Source organism: Homo sapiens, chromosome 14 (assembly GCF_000001405.40).
Source record: "Homo sapiens chromosome 14, GRCh38.p14 Primary Assembly".
NCBI classification, from domain to species: domain Eukaryota; kingdom Metazoa; phylum Chordata; class Mammalia; order Primates; family Hominidae; genus Homo; species Homo sapiens.
Window position 1 is genome coordinate 99,451,738 of NC_000014.9, and position 13,646 is coordinate 99,465,383.

Here is a 13,646-nt window from a genome sequence, read left to right on the forward strand (position 1 = left end):
CTCAAGCCACCCTCCCACTTCAGACTCCCAAAGTGCTGGGATTACAGGCATGAGCCACCGCACCTGGCCCAGGTGCTGTATCTTAATACAACGAATGCTCTCAAAATTCCTGCAGCGTGAGGCTTCTGGTTACACACTATTATCTGTTGAACACCTGAAGGATATATACAGTGAGTGTCAAACATCTCATGAAGAAGATGTCAAGAAGAAGATATTTGACATACACTGTATGTAGCATTCAGGTGTTCATACAGGTGTTTTACATTTTACAATGTAAAAACTGGAAGGACTCCTCAAAACTCGTAAAGCCCAAGCCCCTACCATACACACGAGTTAGAGCAGGGGCCCAGAAAGACTTTGTTTTTTGTTTGTTTGTTTGTTTTTCCCAAAACGGAGTCTTGCTCTGTCGCCCAGGCTAGAGTGCAGTGGCACGATCTCGGCTCACTGCAACCTCTGCCTCCCGGGTTCAAGCAATTCTCCTGCCTCACCCTCCCAAGTAGCTGGGATTACAGTCACGCTCCACCACACCTGGCTAATTTTTGTATTCTCAGTAGAGACGAGGTTTCACCATGTTGGCCAGGCTGGTCTCAAACTCTTGACCTCGTGATCTGCCTGCCTCGGCCTCCCGGAGTGTTGGGATTACAGGCGTGAGCCACTGCACCCAGCCCAAGACTTTTGTTTTAAACAAACTATAAAAGCAAGTTAAAGACAGAAGGTGATCTGAACTAAGTGCCCACACTAAAAGGTCCTGGATCAAGGAAATCTGCTGGGAGGACAGAGCACAGGAAATTATTTTTCTAGTTTTTAGGCAACCACCACCAAAGAGAGAAAAACAATAAATAAAAAATGCAATACAGAGAAATCGACACAAAGAGATGTATAAATACCAGAAGTCAGTACTGATGCTTTTAGAATTAAAAACCCTAAAAGCCTGAAGCAAGCTGTAAGGTTGAATGGACTATTATCACTTCTCCATGCTCCTCTCCCAAAAACCAGGATCACCACCGGGGATGCACAGAACTGAATTGTGCTTGCTGTCACTCCCAAAGTACCCAGAGACAGGGGCTGCAAGCCATGGCCTGTAGACCTCCGAGCCAGCAGGCAGATCGCGGGGGGAGAAAACAAAATAGGTTTCAGTTCACATGCAGAGTTTGGTACAGGCCCCCAAGAAAACTATTTTAAATGGGAAATCACAGATAAAAATTGCGAATGAGGTTCTTGAATTTGGAGCACCCTGCCAAATGATCTGCAAGTTCATTTCTCTAGGGAGAGGGTCCCCATGACCCTGGAAAAGGTTAACAGCCTCAATGCCGAAAACAAAAAAAACTGAGAGCAGGTCACAGTAATGGAATATGAACTGGGAACTGATGTAATAATCCTCTCTCTCTCCCTGAGTGACAATGCACTGATGAGGTGACCTACTAAAAGGAGCAAAGGCCTAACGTCTGATCCTGGAAAAGCATGGGAAAGATACATGGTTTGGTACTGAGATGAGAAAATACGACACTTTTATAAAACAACAGCAATGCAATGTTTACATTTGTGTTCACTCCAATTTATTACTTAAGACTTTTAGAACCGATGAGAACATTCTAAAACTAGAAAAACAGCTAGACTCAAAAGACAATTTTTTAAAAAGATAATTTTTGCTTAAGTGTGTTTTGCTTTGTCATGAACCCTCATTCAAAAGCTCTTAGCCCACAGCCTATTCCTTCCTGCCACCGCAGTGCACCTCATTCTAGGGTGCCTACAGCTCCTATTCCAATAGGAACTTACTTTAAATCATTAGAAATTTTCTAATGATTGGCCAGGCGCGGTGGCTTATGCCTGTAATCCCAGCACTTTGGGAGGCCGAGGTGGGTGGATCACCAGAGATCAGGAGTTCGAGACTAGCCTGGCCAACATGGTGAAGCCCCGTCTCTACTAAAAATACAAAAAATTAGCTGGGCGTGGTGGTGGGCACCTGTTATCCCAGCTACTCAGGAGGCTGAGGCAGGAGAATTGCTTGAACCCGGGAGGCTGAGGTTGCAGTGAGCCGAGATCATGCCACCGCACTCCACCCTAGGTGATAGAGCAAGTCTCCACCTCAAGAAAAAAAAAAAGCTCATTATTGTGTATTATCAATATGTAATGATCCCTTCACAGCTGGTTAGTTTTACCCATGTTAAGTGACTGTCACATTTTCTTCTTCTGAAAAAGAACCACATCTGAACTGCCCACGTGGTCAGCTTCATGGCACTTACTACACGTAAAGACTGCGCTTTTCACACTGGAGCGTGAGACAACCCAAGGTCTTAGGAGAAAGCAGGGTTGTTTTCCTGTAATACCCATCTGACTTGATGGTAAGTCACTTAACATGGTTTTAAAAATAGCAAACATTATCATTTGCATGAATTTTTAAGATTTAAAAACACAAGTCCAAAAACCAACAACAAAAACATGAATCTTGGGAGCAAATGCTTTTTTTTTTTAGATGGGATCTTGCTCTGTTGCCCAAGCTGGAATGCAGTGGTGTGACCATAGATCACTGCAGCCTTGACCTCTTAGGCTCAAGCCAACCTCCCACTTCAGCCTCCCGAGTAGCTGGGACGACAGGTGTATGCCACCACACCTGGCTAATTTTTTGTAGAGATGGGTTGCCCAGGCTTGACAGCAACTTTGAGCTTGTGACGAGTCACTATGGGTTTAGCCCCTAGACTTGCAGGAATGTTATTTTTGGCCACCAGGAGTTTTGTTTTAGTAGAAAACACTCTAAGAAATACTAACATAAGATACTGAAGGGACAGGAGAAGTGATTTAAAACAAAACAAAACAAAACCAAATAACATGGCCTGAGGGTCAAACACAAAATAGTAATAGCATAAATAGAGCATTTCTACAATGAGCACTGTGTGCTAGGCACAGTGCTAAGGGCCTCACGTGGATCAACTCTGCTCGCTCAGCAACCCTGGGAGTCAGGCACTCCATTAGCCCCCTTTACAGATACGGGAAGGAAGGCGCGGAGACCGGCCCAAAATGGCACAGTTCTAAGTGGTGCTGCAGTGATTTCAGCCCGAGCAGGCTGGCTCCAGAGCCTGCCCTCTCAGTTACCACACTGCACTTGCTGAGGGAGCTTCACCCCACCATTTCCACAGTTTCCCAGAGGAAACTGACTCCTAACAACCACAGGTGCTATGGCACCAGGCTAGTTGCTTTGATAAACACTCCAACTTGGGCTGACAATGGTCACACGAAAAAACAGGTCTTCATATTTTTATCTTACAGACTGGGAAACAAACTCAGAGAAGTAAAGCAACTAATTCCAAATTATATTTAATTCCAAATTATATGTAAATAGCAAATGAACTATACAATACAGGTTTGTCTTACTACAAAGCATGTGCTCTTTCCACGCAGCCACAGCGCCTCTCACTTGGACAGTGGATACAGCTGTTTCAACTCTTCCTAACCACACTCAGGAATACCCGGCCCAGGGGCCAGGGTTCCTTCCCTCCCATCACTCAAATGCTCCTTCCTGTGAAGTCCCCCAGCTAACACGGAGAACTGACCCCACCCCATCATGCATATCGCATTTTCAACATGCAATGCCAAGGATCTCAACTCAGCCCCTTACTCCAAATCTGCATGATTTTATAACCTGAATCTTAGGTTTACATTTTTTCAGTGTTTGTTCCCCTGTATTTGTATCCTTAATAAGTCAAGTATCTCTAAACCTGGTCTTTTATTTGTAGGTTCTTAAAAAGAAGGGGTATGTGTTAAATGCCAGTGACCAAAAAAGTGCTCTAAAATACCTTCTCCTCACCACAGGATGCACTTACAGCCAGGAAGGGATCTGGAATCAGCTAACGAGAAGACATTCATGAGAAAATGGTGAAAGTCACTCACAACCAGTGTTGGTAGGCCTCAGGCTTCCAATCATTAGGTGGGAAGAACTGTGATTTTCTAAATCATATAGGTAACTGAGGTGCTCTGTTCTGTATATAAATACAAAGCAGGGTTTCTCAGCACTTCTGACATTTGGGGCTGGAAAATGCCTTTTGTAGGGGCTGCCCTATATGTAGAAGTGTAGCAGCACCTCTAACCTAGATGCCAGTGGTACCCCACACTCCCAATTCAACAATAAAAAATGTCTTCAGGCTGAGCGAGGCGGTTCACGCCTGTAATCCCAGCACTTTGGGAGGACAAGGCGGGCGGATCACTTGACTCCAGGAGTTCAAGACCAGCCTCGCCAACGTGGCGAAACTCCATCTCTACAAAAAATACGAAAAATTAGCCAGGCGTGGTGGCACATGCCTGTAGTCCCAGCTACTGGGGAGGCTGAGGTGGGAGGATTGCTTGAGCCCGGAGGTCGAGGCTGCAGTGAGCCATCATCATGCCACTACACTCTAGCCTGGGTGACACAGCAAGACCCTGTCTCACAAAAGGAAAAAAAAGTCTGATATAAAATAAAAGAACTTATATGTGTGACCAGACACATTTTGCTCTTCTCAGTTTCATACTTTTGACATAAAAGTAACCAGTTTGATTTCTAAATCATGGTACTTTTTTCAAATATTCAGACTGATTTAATTGCAAAAAATATAATCAACTGTGCAGACATTTGATTACCTGGTAATTTCACATTTGTATGTTCCATATTTGATCGTCGTTGACTAAATTTTTTAGTAAAGAGGAATAATTTCTTTAAAAAGATTAGTGCTCTAAGAATGTTGTTTTTAAAAAGGATATTTGTACTCATTATAAATTATACAAATTGTTCTTATTAGTCATGTAGGAATTTTATTACTCTTGGGAAAGCTTCTCAATCGTTTACTTTTAGAATGTTCTCTAATTCCTGAGATGTTTACAATGACACCGTTTATTACATAGAAGGTGGTATAATTTAATCCCCGTAGCATCTCAGCATCATCTAAGGAAGCTTATTTCAGGGGGTTATGAAGACACCTGGCTCTTAAACAAATTGACAAAAAATGGTTCCATCTATATGAACAGAGTATTTTAGTGACTCACAGCCATTGAAAAACTCATCAAATTTTGAAGCAAAGCTGCACTACTTAGTTAATACTGAAGTAAATGGACCAGTTAATACAAAGAAACAGCCAAAGCTCATTCACGCCAAGTCGGTTATCAGAAGACCTGCCATCATCCTAGACCCTCCAACCTGCCAACAGAAGAGAGTCCTCTCAGAGCAGGCTACCAGCGTTTGCAAACTAGAAGCACATTAGTAAAAAGGGCCAGCTTGTAGTTCATTGTCCAGCAAGAGAAAATGACAAATACTTAGACCTACTAAAGTCAGCTTAACCTTTAGTCATGAAAGATATACCATTGAGAACTAAGAATAAAAGTATAACCCTTCCAGGTCATGAAGAGCCAAACCAACCTTAGACTGCAGGACTGCAGGTGCACACTATATGAAGAAGCAAAGTTTTGATTTGGCTTCATCAATAGTTTTTAAATTAAGCCAACTTGAAATAAAAGCTATATACATACTGTATGACCATTCCTAATGACTTCCTAAAGTTTAGAAAAACCGAGTGATTGATTTCCACATGAAGACAACAGTCATGTATAATTTTTGACATATTTGAAGTGCTTGCTGGAGGAGGAGATGTAACTGAGTGTAACATTCTTGTGTAGTAAGCATGCTACAAAGTGAAAATAATAAACGGAAAGCAATATCACCTGTAGCAATGAAATGAGGTTACCACTTCTTGCAAATAAAACATAGCAAGGATAGACCATTTAAGGAACAACCAAATCAAACCTAATTCAGGTTGTCACACCAACCAAAGACAAGGAAAGCGAGCAAGTAGTTCACCTGCCCACTTGTCGTATCTCAAGAACAGCAGCCCAGGAGCTGACTCTTGAGTGATTCAGATTGTGCAGAATCAGGAGAAGGAGCCACACTGCCTCTCAGTCCTGGTGGGGACTGTGGTACTGGCCCTGTTCCTTCTGACTGCTGTTCAACTGCAAATGAAAGATAACGGTGGCCACACCACCAAAATACAGAAAGGTGTCATCACAGGTAATTCAAATACTTGGAGCCTTATAGAGATTTCTATGAGAAACTTTCACTGAGAACAAATTAAAATTAATACACAGTACACGTTGAAAAACATAAATGTTATAATTTGCTAAATTAACTGTCAATATTTTACACTAACATATATAGAAAAAAATTAACCCTCATTTTCTTGAAAAATTTATACACAGAGTAACTTATTGCATTAGATATGCTTTAAGGCTTTTAAAATTTCATTGTGATCTTTTGTTTACAAAAAAACTTGGTGATTTCAATAACTCAGGAACAACTGCTGCTTGTATTAACACTGGGCACTGATGAAATCAGATATATATATGTAACCGCATTTCATTGATATTTCTGTAAAAACAAACGATGAAATGTATTTTATATTTTCAATTTAAAAAGTAAAATGTTTAAGTATCCTTAATAAGACATCAAATGGAATATTTATGGACTCAATTCCTCTTTCCTCCCCACTCTGTGAAATATATACTTAAATTGCAAACAGCTGCTCACCTGGATGACTTTATAGAAGTAGGCGTACTGTCGAGCTGTGTTTTTATACTGGCTGAAGACATCATGTATAGCTTGTGTGGACTGAAGATACCGAACTTCATCTTCTTCAAAGTAGAGAGGAGTGTCATATTCACTGGGGAGGGTTTGAATATAGGGCTGCCAGAAGGAGTTAGGGCTGGCTCGCTCACACAGCAAATGAAAGGCCAGTGCGATGTTTCCCATGGCTTGAAGGATTCGGTCTTGAGAATATAAGGGCCCTGAATTAACCCAGAAGTTAACAGCGTAAGTTCCACAAACTTCTTAAAAACTTCATTTAAATATACGTTTACAAATTACAGAAAAACTAAAAGGTCTTGTAACATTTAAAGTCAGGTACAGGCTGGGCGCAGTGGCTCACACCTGTAATCCTAGCACTTTGGGAGGTCAAGGTGGGAGGATTGCTTGAGCTCAGGACTTTGAGACCAGCCTGGGCAATATAGCAAAACCCCATCACTACAAAAAAAAAAAAAAAAAAAAAATTAGCCAGATGTAGTGGTGCACACCTGTGGGAGAATCATTTGAGCCTGGGAGATCAAGGCTGTAGTGAGCTATGATGGTGCCAGTGTACTCCAGCCTAGGTGACAAAGCGAGACCCTATCTCAAAAATAATAATAATAATAAATAAAGGTCATGTGCATCTTTTTTATAACATTAAATGAAAAACACTTAATGCATATTTGAGGGAATATTTCGCCAGTCGAGAAAAACCAAGTATTATCCTTAGTGCCATAAAATGGAATTTTACATATTTTTGTCATTTGTGCTTTGCCTTGAAGAGTCAGAAATTATTCTCACCCAACACTGAATTTTTAGCAGATTCAACAGTCATTAGCAATTTTCGTGGAACCCATAAAAACAATTCTTCTGCCTAGGGAAAAAAATAATAATAGGAGAATCATCAAAACACGGTACAGTCTTCAATCCAACCATATCTACGGTCAGAAATCCAATCACACATGAAGTACAACTTAAGGCTGCATATCAGCACTTCAAATAAATATTCAAATACATTTTAAAATGTAAGCATTTATCTTATAGTTAAATGAGTAGAAGTATAGCTTAAAATCCTGTTTCCAACAGAAAAACTAAAAACTACATATGCTGAGAAGCAAATAATCAAAAAAGGGACTTTCAACTTTAACCTGAAGCAAATATAACATTTGGAGTAGAGCATAAAGGCGTTTACTGTATACTTTACTGTACTTTTAAGTTCTAAAACCAGACCAAATCAAAACAAAATTCCTGCCTCCAACAAAAACCCTAATCTGTCGATGTGAATTACTACTACTACTGAGTTTTGAAGCCAGAGTAACATTCCTTCCTCTACATACTTATCTTTAAAGCACAACAGTTACTAGTGAAATCACATGCCCAGAAGACACATTGGTTTAGAAATTTGTTTCCCAAAGCTTTTTCTCATTTTTTGGCAATACAGGCTGCTTCCTTTTGCTGTGTCCTGTGTATCTACACTGCAAAAAACATGCACATGGCGCTCCAACATGTGGGAGACAGCAAGAGGGCAGCTGTCTGCAAACCAAGAATGTCTTCACCTAAACAGACCATGCCAGCACCCTGAGATCTTGGACATTCAGCCTCCAAATTGTGAGAAATAAATGTCTGTTGTTTAAGACCTCCTCCCCAACCCTCGCCTCCCCACAAAAGCACATAGTGAGGAAAGTCCACAGCTCGGATCTTCTGGGCAGCATCCACACAAATACTGCCTTGAATCTGTCACAAGAGAAGAACATGTGGCATCTTGCTTTCACCAATGTCAACTATTAAGTTATTTGTACCTGTCTTGTCCCTTACTATATAGATTATAAGCATCATGAAGGAAGAGACTGGTTTTTTTGGAAGCAAGATACTACCATTCACACAGTAGACATTTAACAGGTATCTAATATACCAGCATGTGATTTATCAATCTATCAATGAAAGGTTAACTACAACTTAGCCAAAAATGTTGCTGGAGGTTTGAGGGGGCCCAAATAACACCCCTTCCTCCACCCAAGTTCTGAAGCAACTGAGAGAGAGATAGAATACAACAGATGGTCACCCAAAATATCACCTACTGAATCCCAGAATTAGACAGACTCCCCCACCTAGTTACAGGCAGAGCTGGATCCCCACCGCCCTCCCCACATGTGGCCTGCCCCTGCAAAGCTTCCAGGGCAGAGAGCAGAGTGGAATGAATGCATACGGGCAACTAGCTCCCATCGAGAAAAAGGCCAAGTCCAGTTCCTTCTCCCAAACTTGGCCAACAGATGAAGGAGTGCCTCCTCTTAGAAGAGACATGAGTGAGGGGTGAGAAGAGGCCAGGCATGGCCAGTGACTGCTGCTCCCTTCATGTGGAAAGAAGAACCAAGAACCAAGAGGGGAGAAAAAGCCCTTCTTCCTTAGTAGGTGGCTGTTTCTCTCTCCTCTCCCTATTGCCACTGGTATTGCCATTTCAGTGAGCTCCTAGTACCTTCAGCCTCATAGTCATCCATTTCAGACACTAGTAGGCATACCCACACCGCCAGTCCTCCACCCACTCACCTCCAGTAAGTTACAAAATCCAAACCATGAGTCCACCTCCTTATCTTTAGGTAAATCTCAAAATCCTGTGAGGCATGTTCTATGGTCTCCTAACAGAGGCTCAGAAATGTGAACTGACTTGCCCCAGTCACTGATTAGCAACTTGGCTCCCCAGGAGGATAAGGTGGGAGGAGCTGCTTAGAACATGAGCCCAAGGCCCTTCCAGGCTGCCTATCTGCCCACAGGCTCAGAACTAGAACTCCCCCACCACACGTCTACCTCTTCACCCTGCGCCCTCTACAGCACACCACAGTTCAAACACATAGACCCCTTGAGACCAACATTTTATAAACTCACCTTGATATCTCTTGTTGCTCTCAAACCAAAGCCCTCTTCTTTGAAGTTAACCATTTCAAAACCCTCGACAGAAGCCCCATTTTCAGAGGCCCATTTCATTAGATCAGGAAAGTAATCTTCTCTTTTTCCATCAAAAGTAACGGACAGACCTATATTAATCCACGTTTTAGAAAACAAGAGCTACTTTTAGGACACATATCATTCACACGTCTCTCAGAAAATAAAAACAGGCCATAACTAACACTGGAAATAGTCTTAACACGCCAATCTTGAAATCAAAACTAATCACCAGATGGTCACAGTACATACCTTAACTGGTGACAGGGAAGAAGAATTAAAATCCTAAACTCCCTGTCAGTTACAGTGAAATATATACTGACACTAGGTAATATAAATATTGACTATTAGGTACTATTAGGTAATACGATGGCAAAGGGCAGAGAGCTTCTATTACCACTACTATGATTTACAGAGCAGTTTTCTCCTTAAAAGTCAAACATGCCACCTCTCATGTTCACATTTGCTTTAACAAAATTTCCATTAAAACAAAAATGAGTAGCTCGCGTATGTGCACAAGGAGACATGGGAAAGGATGAGCCCCACAGCCCTGATTCTAAGAACACAAAACTGTAGAGCTGTAAGCCAGAAGGCTGTAAGGCAATTTAAATGAGCTAGAGCTATGTGTATCAACATAAGTATAACACTAAATGTACCACAGTGGCTTTTAAAAAATCACGTAATATGACACCATTTATGTAAATTTTTCAAATATCAATTACAACCATATATTTTTATGGGGTTATTTATGAAGTAGAAAACATTCACAGTGAAGATGAACACCCTGCAAGGAGGGAGGGAATGGAAGGGGATGAAAATGTGAGGCTTTGGCTGTATCTGTGATGTTTTATTTCTTAAAAACAAATACAAAAACAAAACCAAGGGCTGAGGAAGGGAAAGGAAAGCTGATCAGTGGGTGAGAATAAAAGAAAGGACAATGAGAATACAACTTTGACATGTGCTCAGCTGGGGTAGCAGATTCTTGGACATCTGTTATATTAATTTCTGAACTTTTCAGCATGTCCTATGTAGTCAAAAAGATGAAAAGACATGCATAGAAAAAACTATTCTGTTTGGATGAATAAAAGGAGGGGAACAGGAACTTTACTATGAGGAAGCTGGGTGTGGCACATAGCTCAGGCGCCTGTGGCCATCTTACCACAGCATAATTAACAGTCAACCTGATATGTGAAGAGGGCATGCTGGATATGCGAAGATACCTGCTAAATGGCGAAAATGACCAGAATGAGGAATATTCAAAGACGGAACTTCCTATTCACTCCTTGAGAACTGGCAAATGCTTTACCCTCAGTGTCAGGTATAGTAAACAGTATCTACGCAGAAGAGAAACTAAGGCGCTACCCACTTGGTGACAAAGGATTAGCACAGACTCCTATTTAGTGCAAATAAACCCATTATGAAGGAACCTGTTTGAAAACACCCATTATGAACTCACCATTTTGGAGTCTGAGACCATCTAAACTGAAGACTACATGTTTAGAGATGTGTATGGAAGAGCAATAAAACCACTACTTAAAGAGAGCAAATAAAAAACAAACCCTCTCCTGAGGCCCTTCATGACAATAAGAAAGGGCCCCACATTCCAATGCATGCTCCTTAGGATGTTTTCTGCTTCTACCTTCCATGTGGTCCTGCATAATAATCTTTACTTTTTGTGCTTTACAGAACAAAAACAATAGGTATAGTGAATGAGCTTTTTCAAACTCACACTTAGCCCCACGCCAGCCTGGATGAGAATCATTACAATGGCGACTGCATACGTCCTGTAAAAACACAGCTTAAGGAATATGACCACACCTCTTATTTAACTGAGATGTGTGTGAGTTCATTATAAACCTTGCTAATGCATTAACCAATCAGCATTTATTTGTTATTGACGATATACACTATATGCACTGTCCTGAAACTCAAAAGGAAATAACGGTATAATACTTTATAAAATGTAAATAAATAAAATTGTATCATTTTAGCACCCAGATACAAACATTTTATTCTCCTAAAGCTCAACATTCTCACCCTTTCCGAAGCAGGTAATAGCATCTCAGAAAGGGGAGAAATCCCGCTAACTGCTCTCTCTCCCGGTCTGCAAGCCCCAGTACAAGACCTTTCAGAGTGACACCAATGATGCTGAGACCTTTACTACTCGTCAACCCTTTGACCTAATCAAGTTTCTACATGACATTATTAAAATACAGTTATCATTCTAGCAATTTTACCTTTTTGCTTTTTCCGTATTTTCTCAACCAGAGTCCGGATCTGCACATACTCTTCCCACTCTTTTCCTGGGCCAGGCGCCGGACTGCTGCATTCTGTAACATAAGAGGCATGGTACTGAAACACTTCTCTCTTTCAACTTAACCTACTAGTCTGCACAAGAAAGAGGATTTGGACTTTGTTGTTGCTGTTCTGGGGTTGGTTTATTTTTAAAAGACAGACATATGACAGCCATGATAATGAATGTGAGAAGTACAAGGCAGGTACACTTCTCAAAGCAGACAAACCCTGGGGCATCATAAAAACATCCCCCACTTAACGTACCCAAGAGAGAGCACTGAGCAAGCACCTAGCTCACATCCACCTTATTCTTAGTTAACTCTTTTTAGAATATACTTACTAACAGGAAAATCTATGATAAAAAGCTAAGCTAAAATGCAAACTATCCCCCCAAAACTCTTCTATATGGCAAAAAGAAGTTAATAGTAAAAGTTAATAGTAAAAGTCAACCTTTCTTTTTAGTTAAACCCCATAACACTGATTCCCTAAGGGAACCAGTTAAATTGGACATAAGGACAATTAGTCGACAAACATTTCACATCCATGTGTACGGCACTATATTCAGCAGTCTGGGGGAGTTGCAAAATGAGATGGCATAGTCACTGCTAAAAAAGAAGCCAAGATTCCACTGTGGGGCCAGAACCAAAAGACCAACACCCGAGGCTGAGGTGTGAGTTTGAAAGACTGCACACTGGGCACCCCGCCTATTGGCAGCTCTTTCTTTTCACACAACTGCATTGGTTTAGACAGCCCCTTCCCACACTCCTGCTTAACCTTTGGGGCCCCTTTGCTCTCTATTAAAAGAGTATATGTGGCAAATAACTAACAATAACTAGACACACGCTGAGTCTTAACTATGAAGGGTAGCCAGTCTTACTTCATTCTCCAACAATAAGCACTCACTGAGGCCTGGAACAGGCCTCAAAGATGAAGCAGCAGCGAGCCTGTCCTCAAGCTGCCAGAGGCAGGGGAGCTCAGCGAGGAATGGGCAGGACAGCCACACTCCACCGGCCAGTAGGGTCCAGGGCAGCACTCGAGAGGGACCTGACTCCAACTTGGCTGCGGCCTGCTTTCTGTCTCAAAGGGAAAGCTGCATTTTTACTTGAGGTTTAGCCTGCCACATAATCTAAACATGGACAAAGGGCAACGGAGTGACCACAGCTACAGCCAAGGCACTAATTGCACCAATTCAAATTCATAATTTTAAAAAGTTACCAAATTACACTAACTTGCTAAAACAAGTAGAGGCACTTAATAGATATTTCACTTCCTTAAACTAAGAACTCTCAAACTACAGCATGTAAAAATCAGATACACAGCCAGGTGCAGTGGCTCACGCCTATAATCCCAGCACTTTGGTAGGCAGAGGTGGGAGGATCTCTCGAGCCCAAGAGTTCAAGACCAGCCTGGGCAACATGGCAAAACCTCACCTCTACAAAAAAATTAGCTGGGCGTGGTGACACAGGCCTGTAGTCCCAGCTACTCAGGAGAATGAAGTGGGAAGATCACTTGAGCCCAGGAGGTCAAGGCTGCAGTGAGTCGTCATAGTGCCATGGCACTCCAGCCTGGGTGAGAGAGCGGGACCCTGTTTAAAAAAGAAAAAAAATCAGAAGCACTGTTAATTGAATCACCAAAAAGAAAGGCGAGCCATTCCAGTGAGGGGCAGAGCTCTGAAGGCCAGGTCTCCAAGAGGCACGCTGGACTCCCCTGGGCCAACAGCCCGTGAAGTACCTTCACACACCACATCTCACAAGGCCCTTGGCTCATTCCCTGAGACAGTTATTATCTATGTTTACGACAAGAACACTGAGTTTCGGAAGGGTTCAGTAATCTGCCGAGC

At 41.9% G+C, this 13,646-nt stretch overlaps 1 protein-coding gene across 9 annotated transcripts in view; it reads right to left on the reverse strand.

Moving 5' to 3' along the window:
- SETD3 (SET domain containing 3, actin N3(tau)-histidine methyltransferase) overlaps positions 1–13,646 on the reverse strand; it is an 88,711-nt gene that overhangs the window by 53,990 nt on the left and 21,075 nt on the right. For all 9 annotated transcript variants that reach the window (XM_017021699.2, XM_011537233.3, XM_011537231.3 and 6 more), the window contains 4 exons: positions 11,749–11,841; positions 9,455–9,603; positions 7,376–7,448; positions 6,542–6,798 (listed from right to left, as the gene is read on the reverse strand). In XM_017021699.2, coding sequence (XP_016877188.1) covers positions 6,542–6,798; positions 7,376–7,448; positions 9,455–9,603; positions 11,749–11,841 — 572 coding nt within the window. The remainder of the gene's footprint in view (positions 1–6,541; positions 6,799–7,375; positions 7,449–9,454; positions 9,604–11,748; positions 11,842–13,646) is intronic.